Raw genomic sequence first — 25460 nt, 5'->3', positions numbered from 1 at the left:
AACCCTGTTGGGGGCATAATATCTTCTCACTTGGCAAAGACTCTATCTTCTTTAAAAGCAACCTACCCATCATAGCACCCTGCAATCCCACTCCTACATACACACCCTGGAGACCAGAAGTCACAGAGCCACTCAAAAACTCGCACACAATGTTTACAGTGGTATTAGTAACAGTCAAAAGGTGGAAATAACCCAAATGTCCATCATTGATCAATGGGCAAACAAAATGTAGACTAGCTATACAACTGAGTCACAGAAAGGAATGACGTACACAGTGATACGCGCTACAAGGATGAAGCCTCCAAGCATGCTCAGTCAAAGAAGCCACATAGGCAGCCCACAGATCATATGACTCCATGTATGCAAAATGTACAGAATGGGCAAATTCATAGAGACAAAGTAAATGAGTAGTTGCCAGGGCCTCGGGGGAAGAGGGCATGAGGAGTGACTGCTAATGGGTACAAGGTGTCGTTTTGGGGTGATTAAAATGTTCTAAAATTAGATGGTGGTGATAGGTGCAAAACTCTGTAAATATACTAAAAACCACTGCACTGTATACTTTTTAAAAGGTTGAATTTTATGGTACATAATTACATCTCAATAAAGCTATTATTTTAAAAGTATTCTATATGTAAGTGTATATACATGTATAAATATGCAAACACACATTTTATGCTAATTCAGAGATTGACATAGTTTTATATCTACTTAAATTTTTTTTAGGATTCTAAAATATTAACATGCAAGAACATACTGGAATATCACAAAAACTAGTTTGATAGAACTGATATAGTCTATCAAACCTGAAGACTTTAAACCTGAAGCTCCGTTGAATCAGCAACTTTAAAGTCCTAGAAACAGTGGCAATCTCCTCTCTCCTGAGTGAGCTTAACTCTAATTTCAATGTCATATTTGTATGGAATCAAGAAAGCCTCCAAATTAGCTGGTGCATCTCCAACCACACGAATAGTGGGAGCCGCATCTTTTCCACCCTCATCACCTTTGTGGCACACAGCACAGTCCCCCATGCACATCGTGGACCAAAAACTAAAGGAATAAAATTCTTTTTAAATACTGTACTTTAAAAAATAGGGCCACAGCCCGGGCAACATAGCAAGACTCTGTCTCTATAAACAATAAAAAAAAAATTGGCCAGGTGTGGTGGCACGTGTCTGTGGTCCCAGCTACTTGGGAGGCTGAGATGGGAGGATTGCTTGAGTGCAGGTAGTTGAGGCTGCGGTGAGCTGTGATCATACCACTGCACTCCAGCCTGGGTGACAGAGCGAGACCTTGTCTCAAAAACACAAAAAAATAGGGCCATAACAGGAAAACTTTTGCTCGATGTCCTATCCCTTTTGATCAGGTAAACAAACTTTTCCTGTAAAAGGGCAGGTAGTAAATATTTTAGGCTTCATGGACAAAACTGTTTCTGACACAACTACTTAACTCTGTTCCCATAACACAAGGCAGTCATAGACAATATATAAACAAATGGACGTAAAACAAATGATCTGCTGAGAACCTCAGGACCTTGCTTTAGACCAGCTTTGCCCAACGGAACCTTCTACATGACAGAAATGTTTTATTTATTAATCACACAGCTAGTGTGCCTAAGGAACTTTAAAATATTTCAAATGTAAACAGCCACATGTGCCCAGTGGTGACTGTACTGCCCAGTGCTGCATTTGACTAAAAATGAACCAGTTCTACTCTGTTCAAAAACTTAAGGCTAAAAATGAACCCTGCGATTATTTTACATGATGAACTGGGAGGAGAAAACAATATAAAATTCTAATAATTCATAAGTCATACTAGTAAATAATCAAAACTCTAAGCAATCAACCTGCGCTAGGCAGGAGGATACGTGTAGAGCTCCATATATCTGGACTTGGCCATGCTCTGCCGTGTGTACACCTGCTGGATGCCGGCTCTGAGGTCGTCCCAGATCTGGTCCAGGCCAATCTGCTTCAGGCCGTGGGGGTTCTGGCTCCGGGTTGACGACATTGTGAGGGATGTTCTAAAGTCGTCCAGTGCAGCAATCCTTATTCAAAGTACAGCTAGTTCTCCATTAGATGAAAATATACAGTACCATTCCAAATTTATTCACAGCAGCTCAGAAAGGATGTCCTTTAAATGTAGAGAATGAAATCTCATTGCAGGCAAACCTGAGGAAGAAATAAAGAGAATCAGTGGATTGTCTCTGGGGTACTGTAATAAGGTGAGACACACTGACAGAAAAACTCAGTCTGCAGGGCCCACTCTAGAGACCATTTCTCTTTCTATGTGCAAACACATTCATGTTAACCATATGGTCTGTGTACAAAAATACGCTTAGAATTTTAGTTCAAAATCATTATGATATCAGCACTCAAGAGAAAACCTGGGTAAAAGTTTGCACAAGCACAACTATGTTGCCTTCCTTTGCCTTCGGAAGTTATCAAAAATATATATCACTTGACCTAGATGACAATTAGAAAGACAAACTCAAAGAAAAAAGGGCAAAGGATATGCTCAGGAAATTCCCAGGAACACAAACAGCTAATAAATAGGAAAAATCATACAATCTCACGGGTTACCTATGACTTTTAGTAGCTCTTCACTTAGAACTCAGCAAGAATGCAAATGTTGGTGAGGCTGAAAATAAAAGGAAATAGGCACTCCCTTTTTAAGGAGGGAATCTGGCAAGAATTATCAAGATTCAAAATGTACTCTGAATTCAGAGAGACCTGAGTTTGAAGCTCAGTGCCACATCTACTAGATAGGTACATGTGCTACTGGGTGAGTTTCTTAACCTCTCTAAGCTCTAATTTCCTAGTCTGCAAAATGGAGGCCAATTACTTTCCTCAAATGGATATGCAGAGTTTAAATAAGATAATGTATTAGAAAATACTTAACACAGAGTAAATGCTTAACAATGGTAGTGGCTATTATTTCCAAGTATATGAAGATAATGACAAATACAATATATAATGCTTCAGCATCTTGGACACATAAATAAAGTAACTTAGGTATTCAATATTGTATCAAACCAATACTTCTCAATGCACAGTATCACAGACATAATTTAAGGACTACCTATGTACGTCACATCAAAACGTAAAGGTTTTAAATAGTTATTTCTAGTGTAAATCAAGAAACACTGAATTATTTGAATGGTTTCATAAAGCAAATGTTATTGGGAAGTAAACGAGATCTGGAACAATGAGGCTAGGTTATCAAAGCCTGCAAACCTATGTCCCAGTTACCTTGTCAAGTAATTCAGCTCATCCTATATCCTCAATGGCATTACAGAGCTCTGTGTAAACTAAGGCACATTTAGGGACCCTGTGAGGTCATGCTTAAGGAGTAAGTCTGAACCACTGAAACCTATTCTCTAATATTTATTTATATTCTGGGCTATGGGTCTTAATATTTTATGAATCTACAACATCATTCCTGATCCTGAAAGTATTTTATGTCTTACATTCGAATTGGTATGTTCAAATGTGGAATATAAAAATATTTAACACAAGGACTCCCTCAAGTTTTAAGAAACTAACAACTCAGCAACCACTCTGGAAATGTTTCCTATGTGTAGTTTCCATGTGCTTTCCTTTCATCATCTACTTGGGGAGGGTTAACAGCACACCTATAATAATAACCATGTTTTGGACTGGTGGTGCATCTGATAGCATCAACTGTTTGGACCTACCCTACTTTCCCCATCACTTAATTTTTCCCTAAGGGGAAATAATCACTTAAATTTCCCAAACTCATAGTCCAGTTAATTCTGTCTTGGATGAGCTTTCTCATACCTCTCTAGATGCTCTTTTACTCCTTTTCCTTCTCTTATAATTTCTATCAGCAACTGAAAAAAAAAAAAGTTCTACTCTGGCCCCCAAATGCCTTTCTCCATCAGTGTTGTCCGTGTCAGCGAGTGGCAATGCCACATGTATCCACAAGTCAGAAACCTGGGAATGAGTCTGATGCCACAGCCCTCATCTTTCACATTCAACTGCTACGGACTTCATTTCAAATGCATTAGCTCATCTCCACTTCCTCCTCTAGTAATCATCCTCGCCATCTCTTACCTGGGCGACTATTTTAGTTGTCTAAACTAGATTCCAATACCTTGTGTCTGCTTGTATCATTCTTGACATGGCCGTCAGCTGTCTAAAATCGCTGTCATCCTAAGACGGTGTCATCCTAATTCTGAATAGGCTGTCACCCTAAGAGCAACAGGGAGCCAAGGCAGAGTCTGAAGAAGGGAAATCCTTAATATGGCACTATCAGATCCTTTTCTCTCTTCATTTGCCTCTCACAAAACCTCAACTCTCCCCCTCCCTCCCCTCAGGTTCAGCCACACAGATGTCCCCCCTTGCCACCTCAGTCTCCTTTCCCCGCCACAGGATCTCTGCATCTGCTACTGCTTCTGCCTAGAGAGTTCTAGAGAGTTCCTCCCCTTCTTCAAGTTGCCTTCCAGTCATACTTTCAAAGGAGGCTTACTAGGAAGTCCCAGAAGACGTACAGGTTTGCTTTAAATGGGATTTTCCCTTCTTAACACTTACTCCAGGCCATAAACCTGCACTTGTTTCTTTACTGTAACTCCCTGACTTCACCGGGGTGCAAGCCCCACAGGCTCATGAGAACCTCATACAGAGCCTGGCATGCCGCTCAATACATATTTTACATAAATAAATGAAGGAATAAATCAAGGAATTGAAAAGCTTTATGTCTTAAAAAGATTTAGGAATAAAATACCAGTATCATCAAGCATCTGAACTTGCTCAAAATCCCTCTTTAGAATCTCTACAAAATTCTATCTCGTTTCTTCTAAACTTTTTCCTTAAAATATTGGATTCTGGGCTAAAATTTATGTCTTGCTGTTTCATTTAGTCATGTTTTGTATTATTTTGGTCACTGCAAATGTATACATACCCCAACACAGTGTTTAAACAGGCTTACGAAAATTACAGGATTTTAGTGACTACTTAGTTTTAACGAATATTTAGTAGGATGCTACCATATGCCAGGCACTGTCCTAGGCATTATTTACTCTTAATGGTAAACAGACATCGTCTACGCTCATAATGCTACAGTGACGGAATAAAGCATGCTTATTTATTTATTTATTTTTAAATAGGGTATCACTCTGTTGCCCAGGCTGGAGTGCAGTGGCGTGATCACGGCTCACTGCAGCCTCAACCCCCTGGGCTCAGGTGATCCTTCCACCTCAGCCTCTCAAGTAACTGGGACTACAGGTTAGGACAACCATGCCTGGCTAATTTAAAAAAAAATTTTTTTTTTTTTTTTTGGTAGAGATGGGGTTTCGTCATGTTACTTTATGTGCTATGCATTTGTGTACCAAAAGCATTTGTTCTTAAGAGCCAAATACAATCACTGGCAATTAGAGGTTAACCTTAATGATAGTTCTGACCCTTCCTCTTCAGATGAAGAAACTAATTCAAAGAAGCAATCAAACTTGGCAAGCTTCTAATGCTACAAAGTAGCAGGACCACAAACTAGTACACTCTAGTCTGAATTTTAGGTTCTTCCGTTTTTAAAGTGTCAAAACAGTGAAACCACTGTAAGTCATAGGAAAAAACCACCAACAACTGCCTATTTGTTAAATGAGGAAACCTCAACATCTCCAATTAAAAGAGCCGATAGCTTTAAAGAGTTAATAAGTCAGTCCTAATTGTATCAGTATTAAATCTACTCAGATATTTTGAAATTTAAGAAAGCCCTTTTTTTTTTTTAAAGCTTGACTTTTGAAAAACCAAGATAAACTGTGCAACAATCAGGACAATTTAAAAGATAAAGTCAAGATACCAGTTATCCTCTAGCAAAGTTAAAATATACCAAATAAAATGGTCAATGTGGATTTTTCTCCATAACACCTCCATTCTCCTGTCTCAGCATAAGCACATCAAATATGTTCTTTACATATTCTCTATTCTTTTTATTACATTTCTGATTCCAATTATGAATCTTACTCTATTAAAACGTACTGTTAATCTATGAGATCAAATACAACTTTTCATGTCACACTCGTCAAGTTTACTTGCTGTACACTTTTTGTGTCCAGATCTATGCATGGTAACTTTATGCCACATCACACCTCAGTTTATATTCCAAATATGCTGAAAAATTAGCAAAATCTTCTATTCCTGCTGCTATGTGATTTATTCTTCTCTATCCATTCCCTTTTTCTAGTTGTTCCCACTGAGTATCTAAAATTCATGCACAGATGATCTGAGGTTTTCAAAAATTCATACTTAAGTGGGCGGGTTTAAAGAGGATGACCTAATCTTACATTTTTGATATCCCCTAAAGAGCCTCACCTATGTACTTAAAACATTAATAACTAATACAGCAAAGAAACCTCAAACAACGTCTACAAGGAAATGTTAGAAGTAGGCACATCATGAAAATGTCTAAAAGGACAGATAGGTCACACACATGCTGGGCAGCAACAGAGACCTGTGAGGAGGTCCCAGGCAGGGCTCTCGGAGCAGATGCTGAGACCTGGCTTGGGTGGAAGATGCTTCTTAGAGATGGGCACCCACGAGATGACAAGGAGGAAGCAGACGGGGCAGAGAAAAGATGAACTGTGATGTAGGCCCTATAGAGCCAGCATCACCCTGGCAGGGAACTCTGTAACAAGCGTTGCCAGAGGGTCTCACATGGGCTGCAGGCCAGGCCTTTAACTCCCGCTGGGCTGAGAAGGGTGCAGCCCGGTCCAGGCAGCTCTGCAGCTGAGGCCCGATGGCGCTAACACTGGGAGTCAAGTCCTTCCTTGAAGGGGCATCTGGGTGTGTCACCTGTGTATCTACCAGCCTGCTCCAATGGATACAAGAGGCTCAGGCAATGAAGTTTTCCAGTTTAGAGGGGTACGGGTGTGTGTGTGTGTGTGTGTGTGTGTGAGCGCGCGCGTGTGTGTGTGTGTACACGCGCGCATGTGCGCTGCATGCCCATGCTTAATCTATTGATGCGTCACTCAAGTGTCTGGTGAACTGAACTGATTGTAAAACTGCCTGGGACAATAAAATAGAATACAGGTGCCCACAAAACACTTGCTTCTCTGTTAATGTTGAATTTTACTTTACAAACTATATATCCATATCTTATAATCAAGCCATCAAAAAATGTCACTCTTAAGCAGATTTCATAAGTCAGAGAGGTTCAAATGGTTTTTAGGTAAGGGGTAAAAATATTTTCCTCATAAATCATGTCTCATAGCTAGAAAACCTAGGAGGTCCCCAAACCTAAAGATATTAAAAACAAACAAAAAACAAACAAAAAAACAAAATATACTTAGGAAATCAGGTAGTTTTCAAAAGTACTCAGGTATAGGAGATCCTTGGCATCGCAGGAGTTGCCAAGTGTGGTTATGAATGTCCACGCGTTTCGGGCGTGTACCCTGCAGATGTGCCACCTCCTGACTTGGACACACAGGTGGCTGGTGAGTGAAGCAGGACGACAGCAGGGGCAGCCACAGGGCCCCTCACAACTTCAGTGTTCTCTAGACGGCCAATCCCCGGAGAGGGATTATCATTTTCTTGACAGGAAACCAAGGCAGAAGATGCAATTAGTCAAGGACAAGAAGCAATGGCAGAGCCAGCTGTGCTTCCACACACACACTAGCTGCTGGCTCCCGGAGCCCGCATGAGTTTTTACCACAGACACACACGCGTGCAGACACACACACGCGCCACAGTTATACTTCACTTTCATCTAACCCTTGGAAAATAATGGAACACAACAGTCAAAATAAACAGGTCTAACAGAAGAAAAGCAGTCATATATTTAAGAACTTGTCTCACAGAAAAGACTGTTATTCCAAAAGAAGATGAAAGCCAACAGAATCAATATGAAACAAGCTCCCTAACAATTCCAACTGTGAACTAATCAAACAGGCTGTTTCTCAAGATTAACGGTGCATAAGATTCCTTCACTGAGTAGAAGTGTGAACTAAATGACCTGCAAAACTCCTGAAAAATATATCTTCTTTGATATTAGTAATTCAGTTTCATCCATACATACTGGAAGGGCTTTTGAAAAAGAGCACTTACAACAGTCTTCCACTAAACACTAATTGCAACATCAACTGAACTGAACATCAAGGGATGACTAGCTTTAGTGAAGTTAAATACTTTGTTTGCTAGAAGACTTCAGAGGTCTTGATAAGTGAACGTGTCTTATGAATTTCCATCAGAAAAACACAGTATAAAACATCTTCCCTCAAACTTACTTAGCCATGAAATATTTTTTCCTGAACGTATCTTGAGACCAGTAGTAATTCAAGAAAACTCCAGTATTTCAAGGAACATGGCTTTAAAAAGAAAAAAAAAAAAAGATCTGTGCTGACCCCTACTGACTTCTAGCTCTTTGGGGATCAATCGCACACTGGTTCGGCAACTTTTTTCATTTAAAAATGATATACCTCACTTCACTTAATGAAATATACCTCTTTTTTTTTTTTGGTGAGTCATATATTCTATTATTTATCAATAACAGTACCTAACAAAAAGCTTTCAAGTATTTACTTTTTAACAATTATAATACTGCAACAAGCAGCCTTATAAGTATTTACTTTTTGCTTACTTGAGTGATTGATAAACACCTGTATGTACCTATCTGATAAATATGATATTGACTATGATGCCATCTACCAAGACAGCAAACATCAGAGAGGAACAGCTCTACAGGAGGGCAGTTGTCCTTGGATGTGTGAACCTGAGGTCCTTGTGAATCATCCCAAGCAGCTGGACACACAGGGCCTCAGCACAGAAGAGAAGGTGGCCCTACACAGCTGATCTCTGGGGTTTACCACCTGATCCTGGGAACCACAGTTCCTCAGGGGAATACGGCAGACAGACGGCCCAAACTGAGTCCTGAGTAACATTTAAAAACTGACAAGATGATGGAGAACCCATAGAGTTTGTAACTGCAAAGGTACAGCCAGACACAAAGAGAAGGAACCCAAGCCTGGAAGCCAAGAGAAGAAAAGGCAGCAGTTGCGTAAAACTGTGTGACCTTGTAAGTTCTTTCATCTCTCTTAACCCACCTCATGGGTTTGTGGTGAGGATTAAACAAGCCAACACTGTTTCAAAAATGCTAACTATTACTTTAGTAGAAATCTAACTGGAACAGGTGGGGAGGGACAGAAAAGACAGACGACCTTGAGCATGTGGGCTGTGAAGGAGTAAGAAGGCTGCAAAGGGCATGATTAGGGCATGATGCCAACCAGGCTCATGTGCCTCGTCCTCTTCCTGCCTCTGGCTGGGAAGAGGGTTCTCAATCAAGGGGCACTGTGGGAGTGCCACAGTCCAGCTGGGAAGGCTCAGCAGGGCCCCACCTGCAAATGACTAGAACAAAACACAGCTCAAGGAAACAAGGCTGAAGCCTGGGGTGGCCTGCAACCATCTCCAATAATAGGTTTCAGGAGTGGAGAGGAAGGTTCTGGGCTGTGCCAAAGTGTCCAATTAATTTCTGAACTCTGGTGGTTAGCAGATGACCACTGTAGGGATAGAAATGGCTAGTGCAGAGAGGAACTCCAGAGTCTTTCTCTGGGTCTACGGCTGTCAACCCGCATGAGGAGGAGGTGGACCCCTGCCTGCAGCCTGGAGGCCTGCAGGATGGCGGGGGACAGGAACAGCCACATCTGGAGAGGGCTTTAAGGGGTCTTGGTCTTTATGGAAGAGCAATGGGGTTGAAGCAGTGTGAGAAGCGGCTATGGAGGAGTTTCGCATTCATGGATGAGGACTCTAGAGAGGTCCAAGAACTGAGGTGGGTAAAGAAGTGAGGGGAGTGGAGTGGGGAGTCCCAATCCGAGGATGTAGCAGGCAGCTGAGGGCATTCGTTAGTGCAGATGACAGAAAGATGACCTGATGGCCTGTGTTAGTCGGTGACCACAGGGAGAGCCACTGAGGATTCAAACCTCCAGCTTCAGGAAGGAAGAGCTTCTGCTTTGCAAGGTTCAGCCATGGTCCCAAGACTGGACAGGGCCAAGCATTTCTTCATCACCTATCTAACCAATTACACCTTATGTATTTTCCTAATCTCACTCCTTTGATAATTCCTAAATATACAGTAGAGCAGAATATAACTTATTAAAACTTTAAGAATTTTAAGCTTTTACTTGCAGTGTGGCACATAAGATATGAAACCGACAGTAAAACAATTTAGACTTACAGAAACTCTTGTATATGAACGCCAGAAAATATGCAAACACATGCATTTGCTGCACTGTTTATAATAGCAAAACACAAACAAACCTGGAAACAACCCACATGTCCACCAACAGGAGAATTCACAACTAAGCAGTAGGACAGTCACACAACAGACCACACAAAATGAGCCAACTTCAGCTACACGCTTCAACACAAGTGAATTCCTGGAGTCTTGAGTGAAAAAAAAAGGTGACAAAGGAATATATACAGTATATCATTTTTATATCTAAGATTAATTTTAAAAGAGTACTTCTACGAAGGGAGAGGTTAGCTCTCCCCGACATGAATGGAAGGCACCACAGTGAACCACACACACTTATCTGCTTAAAACACTGGCTACTGTGGTTTCATTGTACATATGTTGAAAAATATATATACTAGCTAGGGATACATATTTTTGTGATTGAAATGATATGATGCCTGGGATTTACTTTAAAATTTTGCAGAGAAAAAAAAAAGCTGAGAGACAGGTACACTGCAGTTTCTACTTTCCATAATAAAAAGCTAACAAAAACCTCAGCAAACCTATATAGCATAAGTAAAAATAGAAAAGCAAAAGCATTTAGGGTGAGGGGCAGGCAATTAAAATATTGTGGGGTAACGATGGGTTTGGGAAGAAGTGCTCAGGGAGCTTCCACAGTACTGGAAATACTCTATTTCTTAGTGGGGAATGGGTTGGCGGGTGTTCACTGCAGTAGTAAGCTTGCTTCTTAACATGGAACATGCTATGTTCTCTTGTGATCTATTTGCTACATACATAAGAAAACAATTTAGCACGTTAAAGGATACTCTAAGCCACTCAGAACTGAGACTGGAAAGTTCAAGCTCAGAAATTCTTGAATTCCACAAGAAATTATTAAATTCCCTTTAAGTTTTAAATGAATGGAATGCCTGAAAAGAAAAGAGGCTAATACAGCCAACCTGAGTTTTAAGTGTACAGCCAATATTAGGTAAAACTGCCTAGGCAAGAAAACTGAAGCTTTAGGCTATATATTCATGTAACAAAAACCTCTGTTGAGGATTTTAATAATACATTTCTACAGTTTCAAGTTAATAATTTCAGGAGTAAGAAACCAGCAACAAGCCACCAGATCTGTTGTGGCACCTTCTACTTTGCTCAACCCTCGACGACAACTCCAAGCTGCTCCTCACTCTAGCTCTTCCTCCTCCTTCCGCTGGATCTTCCAAAAGCCACAGACTCACAAGTTCAACACAGAACTCCTCTCTCCCTGCCTTTCTTCCTGACTTAGTTGTCAGAAGCCTCAGCTGCCCAGCTTGGAATCCTAGGAGTTACGAAAGCACCACCCTCTCTACTAACTGCCCAAATATCTAATCCTATCTATTTTCCTCATGTTGCGTGCAATCTCACTTTTCCTCCCCATTCCCTCTACCAAGACTTTCAACTGAGGGTCATGCTTAGCCTCTGGACTGGTCTCTCTCCCTTCAAACTCACTCCCCCTTCTGCATTTCCCATCAGCTTTGATTCCTCTCTATTCTTACCCCTGATGAAAAATCAGTTCTATGAATTCTATCTCCTTCTTATCCTACTTCTCTTTACACTCCCAACTGCCGGAGTCTAGGCATTATTAACTCCCATCTGGCTCACTAACTAAAGGGTCTTCACTGGCCTCGTCCCCTCCAATCCATCCTCCATATTGTTGCCCCACAATTTCTAAAACACAAACAGGCACTCACTCTGTTAACTGAATGAACTGCAGGGACCTTCTTCTATACGCTGCGTTTTATTTACCCACACCCATGGCACCTCCAGAATGTCCACTGAGTACAACTGTTCCATGTCAGCTTATTAACTATATAAAGAAAGGAGTTAATATTTACTGTAGCTGCTACGCTAGACTCTGTACAACAGCTTTAATGCTTTCACTGATTTACTCCTCACAGTAAGTATATTCTCTGCATGTACAAGCTACGTTTCACAAATGAGGAAGCCCAGGCTCAGAGGTGTTACCCATGCTGCTTCCTTAGAAGGTAGGAGTTTCTCATTCCACCTCCTTAAGAAGTGTGCTACCAAGAGTTACTCCTGCATTTGACATTACAACCTGGCTTCAAAAGGAAGCATGCAAAAAGACAGGTGAAAGCTTCATGATATGAATACGTAATGACACGTCCAAACTGCTGCCAACGAATAGTTCAGGGAAGAACTAGCGAATTCATGAGCTTGCCTTTTATTTATATTTACATGTCCAAAGCTAGTTAAAGCTCTACTTTGTTGGATCTTCGCTGGTTACTATTTGAATGTTGTATTATTCTACAGTTTTTAATCAAGAAAATTCTTTAACTAAAGATGCCAGGACAGGGACCAGCATCTTGTAAATATAGACCAAGAACCTGTGCATTCAGTATTTGGACATCTACCAAGAAGGATTATCTAATTAGATAAGACTTCATAAGTTCGTTACTGAAATTCAAGGCTTGAAAAATTTGCACTTATTTATAAGATTTATGCTATCCCTTTCTATATAAAACTATGGAAACTCTCATTCAAACAATTAAAATTGACAAGCAGCATAAAAAAATTTCAACTAACACCCTAATAGATGGCTTCCTAGAGACAGTAGCTAAGTTATTTTATTTTTTTTTTTTGACGAAGTCTCGCTCTGTCACCAAGGCTGGAGTGCAGTGGCGCAATCTTGGCTCACTGCAAGCTCCGCCTCCCGGGTTCACGCCATTCTCCTGCCTCAGCCTCCCGAGTAGCTGGGACTATAGGTGCCCGCCACCGCGCCTGGCTAATTTTTTGTATTTTTAGTAGAGACGGGGTTTCACCATGTTAGCCAGGATGGTCTCGATCTCCTGAACTCGTGATCCGCCCGCCTCGGCCTCCCAAAGTGCTGGGATTACAGGTGTGAGCCACTGCGCCCGGCCAACAGTAGCTAAGTTTTCTCTCTACTTACTTAAAGCCATTCTAAACCTTTAAGTCCACTGGCTCTAAAGTCAGAGAAATAAAAATAAACACATACTCAAATTAAGAAATGGTTTCTGCTTCTCAAATAACGAATTCCAAGTCAAATTCTCAAGACTTGAATTTATCACATATGCTTGCATTGCCTGGTTCCTGTTGTTACCCAAAGCTAATAATTAAACATCTGCGGCATTAAAAACCATGTTCACTCAACATAAATCTGTCACATGCCCCATTATTCTACCAGATATCTACCCCCCAAAAACAAAAAAAATCATACATCCACCCAAAGACTTGTACATGAATGTTCACAGCACTTTATAATAGCCCCAAAGTGGAATAACACAAATGTCCACCAACAGGTGAATGGATAAGCAAAATGTGAGGCACTCACACAATAATGCCAAGTAGTCAGACTATTTGGCAATAAAAAAAAAATCAAGTACTGATGCAGCGTGGATGAACCTCAAAAATATTAACACTAAATGAATGCCAGATGCAAAACACCACGTATCATATGACTCCATTTATTACATGAAATGTCCAGAATAGGCAAATCTATAGAGACAAAGCAGGTTAGTAGCTGCCTGGGGTTGTGGGGATGGTGGGAATGGGGAGTGACGGCAAAGAGACACAAAGGATCTTTACAGGGTGATGGAAATGTTCTAAAATTGCATTGTAGTGATGGCCACACAACTCTAACTTTACTAAACATCACTGAATTATACATTTTAAATGAGTGACTTTTATAGCATGTGCATTAAATCTCAATAAAGTTGTTAAGAAAAAACAAAGAACAGACTTAAAGCATGCTAGCTGTAAATCTTATGGTTCAAATTCAGTTCATTCACAGAAAGGAATGCATCTCTCCAAGACAACCAGGTTCTGTGTACATATGGGTCTTGGTATCAGCGCTAAAAGCAGTATTACTGAGTATTCTACCAGAAAGTTAGCTTTAAGAAATGCTATGTAAGACATTACCAATAGAGAGGGGTTTATACTCCCCTGCAACAATATATAAACAGGTGAAAACACGAATGTCAAAGTTTTGCCTGCAGGTATTGGAAGAGATGTCATATGGCATGGATGATTTGCTGCCATATTAAACATACAGACAAAAATGGCAATACAAGTTAATAGGGGAAAGAAGTCGTTTCAGGCTACAAGATCAGGAAGCCTTTACAGAATGTGTGCTTTGAGCGTTTCTCAGAGGATGAGCAGGATTTGAACAGCAGTAGAGGTACAGGGAGGCTGATGTCCAAGGGAAGACAAGCATGAGGCAGAAAACTGATCACAGGAGCCCGGTGAAGGATTTGGGCAAGTCATGAGAGGTGGCGGCTGGGTCAGTGGGAAGAGGATGCAAGGTCTTTATTCTGTGAGGGTGACAGAGTTATGGAAGGTTTCGGAGAAGACAAGTGACACCGAGATAACGGCTCAACTTAGACCAACAGCAATGGAAAGAGAGAGGCCCAAGACACAGGCGACACAAAGCAGTTATCGTGGTAACTGGTCAGACCGGATGGGGTGACACAGGTAAGAAAGAATTCAGGATGACAAAGGCTCAAATTTATACTTTTGAACTTCCAACAATTTATTTCTGGATTCCAGAATTGTCAGACACTACTTTCAAAATTCAAAACAAGGCCGGGCATGGTAGCCTGTAATCCTAGCACTTTGGAAGGCTCAGGCAGGCAGATCACCTGAGGTCAGGAGTTCGCGACCAGCCTGGCCAACATGGTGAAACCCCATCTCTACTAAAAATATAAAAATTAGCCGGGCGTGGTGGCAGGTGGCTGTAATCCCAGCTACCCAGGAGGCTGAGGCAGAATTGCTGGAACCCTGGAGGTGGAGGCTGCAGTGAGCAGAGATCACCCCACTGCACTCCAGCCTGGGTGACAGAGCGAGATTCCATCTCAAAACAAAACAAAACAAAACAAAACAAAACAAAAATGAAAAACAAAATTCAAAACAACATAGCTATTGCTGAAGAAATGTTCCATGGTAAGAACAGGAATTTGCCAGATCTAATAACATGACAGATGCATTTACCCTTTGACCTAGCAATCCACTTCTAGGAATCTATTCCCAAAATGTGCAGCCAAAGCCACGAGAAGTGGTAAATTCAAGTTTTGTCACTGCAAAAGACTTGAAATCAGCCCCAAATCTATCAGTAGGGGACAGGAAGACTAAGTTAGGACAATAGAGCACTGCGCAATGATGAAAACTGTTAAGAAAAAAAGAAAGGACCTCCACATACTGATAAGAAAGTAAATTCTTAGCAGACACTTAACTGAAAACAGGCACCTTTTGTGTGTGATGGGAGTAAATACTAACACGTAAGTGTAGATACATTTTTCTTTTCAAGAAGAAAAATTGGGAGGCTAAACTGAACACTAATAAAATTGGTTACCCATGGCGGAAGGAGAAAACAGTGTGGGAGAAGGGTGGAAGTGAGACTACAGTGGGGTCCATGGGCGGATTTCAGGGGGCTTCTCAATGTAGATGGGACAAAAAATTACATCTTTATTTTCACTAACCTCTGATGGAAATTTGACAGTTCCTTTGATTATGAATGCAGGCAACAGATGCAGTACTTTTAGCAAAGTGTCTAACTTCGTCAGCAAGAAATCACAAAGATTTTCATTATTCCATGCTAGACATGCCAGTATCATTTATGCTCATCAACACCTTGAAATTATAGTAGTTACATATAAAGTCTATAACTACTAGATCTTAAATAGGAAGATGTCTGCATGTGTTAGCATGTGGAATTCTCAGGAATGGACATGTTTGCTACACTTTTGACATTTTTTATGATTAAAAAAAGCAAAAAGTTGTACTGTAAAATCTAGAAGAACATCTTGGAGCCATATGTGGCCTGCAGGATCTCAAGCAATTATAGCCTCTGTCTTAGGTAATTACCCGGCAACAATATAATTGTAAATAAATATGAACTCACAAGTACGAAATATCATGGCAGTTCTAGATTACAGGATGATCATCCAGACATATAAGTGTATTTATATGAAATTCTTTGTATCACTAAATTAAACACTCAGTTTAAAAATTCTCATACTAGCAAAACCCCAGGAGTAAAGGGAGTTAGAGAGGAACAACTCTATATAAGAAAGTGAGGATTAACAGAAATAGATAAGTTACGAGAAGAAGCCTGAAACTAGAAAGAAGATGAAGAGCTTAATTTTAGATAAGTTGAATGTGTTTTTTTTAAAGGTTGGCAGTTTAAAAATTGTAGCCCAAAGGAAATCACACCTGTAGAAATAAATTTAGTAACTGACAAAAAAGTAAAATTGTTGGCAACAGCGCAAACAAAAATCTTCAAAGTGTGAAGAAAGAACTTAATAGAGATGAGGACTAAAATTTTGTGCTTAAAGGACGTGGGCAAAGTAGTCCCTTGCCTCCCACCCCTCCCAAAAAGGAGAGAGAATGCTTGCAAGAGACAGAATATATAAGAGAACCAGGAGGACAGAAGGCAAGCCAAAGGAGGCTCATCCATGAAACTTTTAGTTCGACAGTGTTAAGGTTGAAGGTAAATCAAGGAAAAGGTCTATTATGAAAAGTCACTGACTGTGGTAAGTGCCAGGAGCCACGGCCTTCAAGAACATAGCTCTGAACGAGTAGAAAGCAATGAAACCTGGCTGCAGCCAAGTAGAAATGGAAACGACTCGCTCAACACGATGGTGAGAAGACAATGGTGGACTCTGTTGCTAGCAGAAATCACCAGATACCTGCCTCTCCCAACATTGCTGTCACAAGAGGATCCTCAGGACTGACTCAGAGAACGTGATGACTTATTACCCCATTCACCATGATACAATGATGGGTAGGAATGAGAAATGAATTTTCCTTTTAAATTCTAAAGCCAGTATACAAGCATAATTACAACAAACTTGCAAATGAACAGACATGACAAACATCATGTCTTCCAAAACCACATACCTTATTCAAAAATAAGATACAACTTGGGAGGCTGAGGCAGGAGGAGGGCTTGGGCCCATGAGTTCCAGGCTGCTGTGGACTGTGATCATGTGACCACATTCCATCCTGAGGGACAGGGCAAGACCCTCTCACACACAAAACAAACAAACAAACAAAAAACAAAGTACAACCAATGATACTTACTTACAGCAGAAGTCTCACAACAGAACTTCTGTGCATGTCTCTCAGCTGGAGGTATGCAACCCTGGATTCAAAGTCTGGTATAAAGACGACCATGTTCTGCCCAGGTGTGTTCATGCTTTCCACTGCCCTCTAAAATGAGTCCCTTTGGCAACCTCAACAAGATGACACCCACTCAGATCACCACGAGATGGCAATGAGAAAATACCACACCTATCACTACAGAGAAGACAGACAGACTCCAAACCAGCCAGCACTGCTATTCAGATTCTCTTAGAAGGGACATTGGTTCTTTCTATAAGGCCAATTCTAATTCTGTTCATTCATTTTTAAGTTTTCCTTAAAAAATCAAGCACCAAGGAGGGGGATGGGGAGATACTGGTCAAAGGTGCGAAGTCTCAGTTAGATAGGAGGAATAAGCTCAGGAGATCCAGCACCCAGCATGGTGACTCCAGTTAATAATAATGTACTGTATTTTGAAAACTGAAAATTGCTTAAAAGCAAAACAAAAGAGAAAAAACTGCTTATAGTACATCTTAAAAGTTCTTACCACAAAAAAATGTTAAGTATGTGAGGTGATGGATATAATTAACTTGATTTAATCATTTCATGATGTGCAGCGTACATATATCAAATCATCAGGTTGCATGCTATTATGTTTTGTCAATTATACCTTAATAAAGCTGGGAGTGGGAATTAAACACCAAAATACCGACTTCTCAGAATTGCTATAAAGAATAAATTAGTAGAGCCTCAAAGTTTTACTAAATGGATATAGCAGGCTTCTCGTTGTGATCAATCTTTGTCCTTCTAATTATATAAATATACACACATGCAGCCAGGCGTGGTGGCTCACGCCTGTAATCCCAGAACTTTGGGAGGCCGAGGCAGGTGGATCACCTGAGGTCAGGAGTTCAAGACCTGGCCAACATGGTGAAACCCCATCTCTACTAAAAATACAAAAATTTGCCTGGTGTGGTGGCACACACCTGTAGTCACAGCTACTTGGGAGGCTGAAGCAGGAGAATCACTTGAACCCAGAAGGTGGAGGTTGCAGTGAGCCGAGATTGCACCACTGCACTCTAGCCTAGGCGACAGAATGAGACTCCATCTCAAAAAATATATATATAATATAAAATACACACACATGCTAATTTAATTCATTCCTTCAAATACACACATTTTGTAATTACAAGAATTCTCACATATCATTACCCAGAAGTACAGAATTTTCTCCTATAAACATCTTAGGAATTAGAAAACAATTTTTTTTCTCTTAGAGTTGATACTTGAATAAGTAATAGAGGAAGGTCCTTTTAAATCCTAAAAAATCCACACACAAGCACTAAATGCCTTAAATATTGCTCAATTCAGAAATGAATCTTAATTAAGTCAACATCTATATTCTTCCTATTTTACTACATGACTTCCAAGTAAGATGCCACAAGCGTCACTGGTATAAATTGCTCCGGAAAACCTGAAAACTTACAGAAAATCACAATCACATTATATTTAACAGGTGTTATAAAGACTGCCCAGTTTGTCCAAATAAACTAGTTTTAACTGCTGAGGACTGAGTATCAGTTCTCAGTTTCAGCACAATGCTTTTACTCAATTACCTAGATTAAATCATGCTTACTCAATGGTCTAGATTGGTACTTGCGTGTATTTTGTTTCCAAGTACTTGCATTCACTTTAGGGCAAGAAAAAACGGTATTACATTTGATCATGATCATCTACACCACACATGCTTTTCAAACTGAGGGCTGCAATTCATTATTGTGTAGATCATGAAACCAACTTAGTAAAAGGGAACTGGAACTTTTTAAAAAATCAAATAAAGAAAAAGAGCTCATAGAATGTAACAAGGTTAAGTATTACTCAGTGCATTTTTTTTTCCCAGTTATGTCTGTGTGGGTGCTGGGTTATCCCACAAAAAATATTTTACTAAAGAAATAATTCAAGAGGCACTGATTGACAGTACACAGTGACAAATTGCAAACAGCTAATATGGAAATGCGTGGGATGTCTGTGAACTTCACAGTTCTGGCTCCACAAGTCACTGGCAGTGTGAGCTTGGTCAGATTCCTTAACTTCTGCGCCTGTATTTCATCATCTGTACTAGAGATAATACTGTAGTACCTGTTGTATAAGGTGGCTATGAGGAATAAGTGAGTTACGAAAATAAAATGCTTAGCAGAGTCCTTGACACACGGTAAGCATTTGCTACTATTCATGTTAACACTACTATAAAGGGTTTCTAATATCTATGCAATTCCTAAGATAGTATTTAAATGTTAAACCACCCATGCTTATTTTTGAAGTCAAAATGAAGTAAATTAACGTTACCTGAAAACTCCACAATACCTTTGATAACTGATGACACCAGAGGTGGCACTTCTCTAAAATTCCCACCAAAATGTAACTTTCAGCACAGGGTGGAGGAATCCTTTGTATCGGGACAGACCTGGGGATCCAGCCTAAGCTGTGACAGAGTTAAATTTTCCTTGAAATATCACTCTATCTTAAAATTCACATGAATCTTTCATTCTACCATGAAATACATGTTTAACAGAATACTTTAAAACACCAGCTCCACAGGACTTCCTAGCTCTCTTGCTAGTGAATGAATGGGATGCTGTTGTATGAAACCCACTGACTTTGGAAAAGCCGCTACTGGAGAGCTTTCACTGCACATCAGCATCCAAAAAGTTTCTCTTCTGTCTTGGCACCACTGTATTTTCAGAACCCAGCTTAACACAAATACAAAGATACAAACAGCAAGCCATTCTGCCCTCCTTTTAGAGGGCCTGTGGAAGTGGTGCCCCAGGGAAACATCCTCAGGCCACTAAGCGTGGAAGGCCAGATGTGCACCTCCTGGCAGGTCTCTCCCTCTCCCAGTGAGGTGTGCACGTGAGGTCCACTTCCGTAAAGGATGCCCTTAGTCAACCACAAACGCTATTAACTCCCATTTAGATGAACAATCTCAATTCACAGTTCCCACAATCCTCTTCAACTAATTTCCAAATTTCCCTCATGTGTGGTGAACCGTTTGCCCTGCAGTTGATTGTGGGGCCTTGAATAAGTATCTGCTCAATAAGCAGATTTTGGAAGCTAGTGTATCACTAAGTGAACATGAATCTATTCATCAATAAGACACCCCTTTCTATTATTTTTCTTTCGACTAAGATAATTTAACCCTGAGTCGAAAACTCTGATCAGTAATTTTCCCTAGCTGAGCAAACTTTCAAATACACTTCCCGTTTCACTACAAACTGGTTCAAAAGGAGAAACGGCGCTACCGTGCTCTTTATTTGATTTAGGGCTTTTATGTTTTTTGTTTTAAAGACAATTTACCACTTTAACCGCTCTCCTGAAGGAACTGGGCACAGTTAAGCGACACCTCTTTCTGGTAAGATGCTCCTGACACATGTCCCCCGTGGTCCCTGAACCACTCAAGGCTCACAGTGAGTGATGTCACCCACCGCACCTGTGGTTCCACCTGTCAGATTTGCACCCCCATTCTCTGCACATATGTTCAATGCTGCATTTGCTAAAAAGCATCTTGCTGAAAATTTCCTTACTAGCTATTACAACATCAAGTACTAAGAACTTTTTAGTATTTTCCGAAATTATGGACACTGGGGAGAGAGTATGAGGAGAAACATATATGCACAGAAGTGTACATTTAAATCAGTCAAGAATAAATAATTTGGAAAAACAGTTTCTCAATGATTTGAGTATGTCTTCTGAGCTCACAAAAATCTGTAACTCGATGACAACATTCAATAAGAAGCAGGGTTCTTTTGGGAAGGGGACTTTTTAAATTTTGCTTCCCACTCTGTCTCAAAACAATCTGGCCATACCTATAATAAAGGAGAAAATGTGGGCTGGGCACGATGGCTCCTGCCTGTAATCTCAGTACTTTGGGAGGCCGAGGCGGGCAGATCACCTGAGGTCAGGAGTTCGAGACCAGCCTGACCAACATGGTGAAACCCGTCCCTACTAAAAACACACAAAAAAAATTAGCCGGGCATGGTGGTGGGCGCCTTTAATCCTAGCTACTTGGGAGGCTGACGCAGGAGAATTGCTTGAAAACCAACCAGAAGGCGGGGGTTGCAGTGAGCTGAGATCGTGCCATTGCACTCCAGCCTAGGAGACAACAGCGAAACCCCAACCAAAAAAAAAAAAGGAGAAAATGTGGTAAAACCTGTAGCATCAGCTTCACTTATGATTCCGAAACAGCAGTAAGCCTCTAGACATTTACATTTGCTCGTATTTTTTCTGAGACGGAGTCTCGCTCTGTCCGCCCAGGCTGGAATGTAGTGGCGTGATCTCGGCTCGCCACAACCTCCGCCTCCCGGGTTCAAGCGATTCTCCTGCCTCAGCCTCCTGAGTAGCTGGGATTACAGGCATGCACCACCATGCCTGGCTAATTTTGTATTTTTAGTAGAGACGGGGTTTCTACATGTTGGTCAGGCTGGTCTCGAACTCCTGACCTCAGGTGATCCGCTCGCCTTGGCCTCCCAAAGTGCTGGGATTACAGGCGTACCGCGCCCGGCCCACTGGTATTTTTTATAGTAATGCCCCTAGTCAAGATGCACCTTTCTTTGTAGTTACAAAATTTTCTAGTCAATTTCCCTCATGGTCTGTACAATTTGTATTTATTTGTCACCCTAAGAGTGGTGGGTTTTGGAGGTTATTGCTAAGGGGCAGAGACACAAAAGCATCAACAATAACTTAAACCCATATTTTACTTATTTATTTTTGACACAGGGTTTCACTCTGTCACTCAGGCTGGAGTGAAATGGTGCCACCTCGGCTCACTGCAACATCTCCCTCCCTCTAGGGCTCAAGCGATCCCCCCACCTCAGCCTCCCAAGTAGCTGGGACCACAGGTGTGGGCCACCACACCTGGCTAATCTTTTCATTTTTTGTACAGATGGGGTTTCACTACGTTGCCCAGGCTGGTCTCGAACTCGTAAGCTCAAGCAATCCGGCCACCTCGGCCTTCTAAGTATTCAAATTACAGACGTGAGCCACCACGCCTGGCAAAACCCATACCTTAAGCAGGCATAAAGAATATCCTGCATGTTAAGATTGCTACTGATTTCTGTCACCACCCTAGCTGTGGCTGGGACAATACCATAGTCTTCACTGCCCAGCCTAAGTTTCATGTGGAAAGTCTCAACAATAGTCGGTCCATATTTTTTATTTCATACAATTTACATTAACTTGTGTATTTTCTCAAGCAAGCTTTTTAAGCTTATACTTCAAGTAGCTTACTTTGAAAAACATAAATGCATGTTCCCAGTTGAAAACATAGTTAATATTTTTAACAAGGTAAAGAACTAATGCTAACATCACAAAATCCAGATTTTTCCCCATAGTTTTGTTATCGTCAAGAACTCATATATAATAAACTTACTTTAGAGGACTTGAATCTCACAAACTTCATTCAATTTTCTAAAATAAAATGTACACATCAAAACTGCAAATAAATAAACTTCTGAAAAATATAAATACAATGGAATAAAGAGATGCACACTTTAGGACTATTTTTCTTTTTGCCAAATCACACACACAAAGCCCAGAGTATGTATGCGCATATACGCAGTTTGGCCTGTACTCAATTGTCAGTAAAACAAATCCTCCTCTGCATTTTTGGCGGGGAAAGTACTCTTTTTAATGTGAAACTGTAGTTTCATTCACTGCCGCCAAGAGAGGCGTCAGAATGCTTTTTAGAATCACTTTTCCTATAACTATTAAGGGAATCACTATCCTAGTTACACATACACGCTCACCTATGTTTACCATAAAAAGCTATGTGGATACTCATCTTCCACAATATCCATATTTTTGAAACAAAACTTTAGTGTAATATATGGTTTGCTGGTTATAATCAGTGAATTATTTAATCAGTTTTCCACAAGTTAGCCTTATCAATAGAAAAATTCCAACATTTATAATTTATTATGGCAAAACCTCAAAGTTAACACAACTTCCGCAAATTGGTTGCTTTGTTGAAATTTTGCTAAATGTTGTTACTAGAAATCACATTCCCAGTTTGAAGAGCTGAGATAGAGACAAATACCCAGAACCAACATCCAGCTACTTTCAAGTGAAAATTGCAGCAGAGCCAGTTTTTTTAAAAAGCATGTTAGCATGATACACACAGCTAGATTTTCAGGATTTTTTTAAGCTTATGAAGATGAGATAGGATGGTTGTGGCAAAGGGCTGCAAAGACAAAGAGCAGAGCCCACTCTATCAAATGCTAGCAGCCCAATACCTGCCCTGGAGAGCCTCTGTAATCAAGGAAGCCAGGCAAGTCCTGAATGAAGCAGCAATCAGCAGCGCACTGCATCGCCAGGCGTGAGGGCAGAATGAAGCTGGTGACAGCGGGGCCAAAGAGGAAGGTATAAACACATAGTGTTATGGGGGAGGAACTAGTAAGATTTGGTAGATCACTGAATATGGACAAACAAAAGAAGTCAAGTCTGAAATCTGTGTCTCTGACACAACGCTAGAAATAGAGATGTCGGATATGGTCTAGGGAGCAAAAAAGAGATCAGTTTGGGGCAAGCCAAGTTGGAAGAAAGGCCAGGTTAGTCAAATGCAAAAGCCCTGAAGGCTATTAGCAGGACTGCAAGGCTCTCAGCTGAAGTTGCTGAGAATTGCTTAACCTGAAAAAACTGAGAAACCACAAAGCAAAAAAGACTAGAAGAGAGGATCAAGTTAAAGCTATCTCCTGAATGCTCATGAAGAGTTAGAAAAGATAAGATGAACTGGAACAGCAAGTATTCTGCACAGAACCCTAACCTCAGGAGGTCACCCAAGAAAAAAGAAAGGTAACCTGGTCCACAAGTCTGGGAAATGAGCGATGTGGCCCCTACTCAGAAGGGGACACTGGAGAACAGACCTGGTGATGCTTCCTAAACTCCTCTAACGCAAGACATCCTGAGAACAGCGTTCACCCTCTGGAAACCATGAATTGGAAATGCAAGAGAACCAATCTAATGAATCAAGTACAAATCTAAGAGTGCCTTCAAGAGAAGTATTGAGATGCTTTTAAAACCCAGGAAGTTTTAGATTTTTAAAGAAAAAATGTGAAACAACTTTGTAGTTAAACCATTATTTTACAGGTTTAAAAAGTGTTCTCCATGGACACCGGGAAGGGCACAACACTCACTGGGGCCTGTCAGGGAAGGTGTGGGGACCAACACCAGGGAAAACAGCTAATGTATGCAGGGCTTAATACCTAGGTGATGGGTTGATCGGTGCAGCAAACCACCATGGCACACGTTTACCTATGTAACGAACCTGTGGTACCCTGAAACTTAAAAAAAAAATTATTATTTAAAAAAATAAAAAGTGATCTCAACATGACACCACCAATAACATGTAAATGACACAGGCTTTGATTGTGTTGTCTCCCATATGCTTTAAAATTTTTTTAATATAATTCCTCTGATAGTATTTAGGATTTAAACAAGGACTAGGGTGAAGCAAAAATTATTTCTAGACACTAAACTTATAACCATACTCATTAGGATCCTGGCCTCTATGGCACTTCCCACACTGTGCTACAAAGAACCACGAATATTTCCAGGTGCTCGTTCCAAGAGAAAAAAATGAACACATCAATTCACTCCATATCAAATCTCTACTGTAAAGACCTAATTTTCCACATTCGATGATTTTAAAATCAGTATGTGTTCTACAAAACATGTTAATATGGTAGGGGAGTTTTCTTCCTTCAAAGGTAATTTCTTATTAAATTAGGAGTGGACCTTTTAATATATATGAATGTAGGTATGTATACATATATACATACCCTATAAGATATATCTCCCTGTAACAGCAGCAAAACAAATTAAGATTTTAAAGGCCCTTCAATATGCCACCTGGCATTTCCTACGTTTATTCACAGATCTTCCCTCCTATTCCCATACCTTACATATCACAGAACACAGACAGCCAAATATTGGCCTAAATAAAAATCCTGAAAATGCAGTAAAACAAGTAGAGTAGTAAGGCAGAGCTCCATTATAAAAATACCAGTGACCAAAACAAACAAAATCTTCATAATGTCGAGAGAACACATACAGTACGTTTCACCTGTAAAGCCCCAGCTAAACTGCAGACATTAAACACCCACCCCGCCCCCCGCCGCCCCCACCCCCAACAC

The 25460-nt window shown here is 40.6% G+C and overlaps 1 protein-coding gene across 6 annotated transcripts in view; it reads right to left on the bottom strand.

Moving 5' to 3' along the window:
- Positions 1–25460, bottom strand: part of CUL1 (cullin 1) — a 103355-nt gene that overhangs the window by 68984 nt on the left and 8911 nt on the right. For all 6 annotated transcript variants that reach the window (NM_001370660.1, NM_001370661.1, NM_001370662.1 and 3 more), the window contains exon 2: positions 1865–2165. In NM_001370660.1, the coding sequence (NP_001357589.1) occupies positions 1865–2004 (140 nt within the window). In that variant the 5' untranslated portion in view covers positions 2005–2165. The remainder of the gene's footprint in view (positions 1–1864; positions 2166–25460) is intronic.

Source organism: Homo sapiens, chromosome 7 (assembly GCF_000001405.40).
Source record: "Homo sapiens chromosome 7, GRCh38.p14 Primary Assembly".
NCBI lineage: Eukaryota > Metazoa > Chordata > Mammalia > Primates > Hominidae > Homo > Homo sapiens.
The sequence above is the reverse complement of the archived record's forward strand: the minus strand, read 5'-3'. Positions and strand labels throughout refer to the sequence as shown.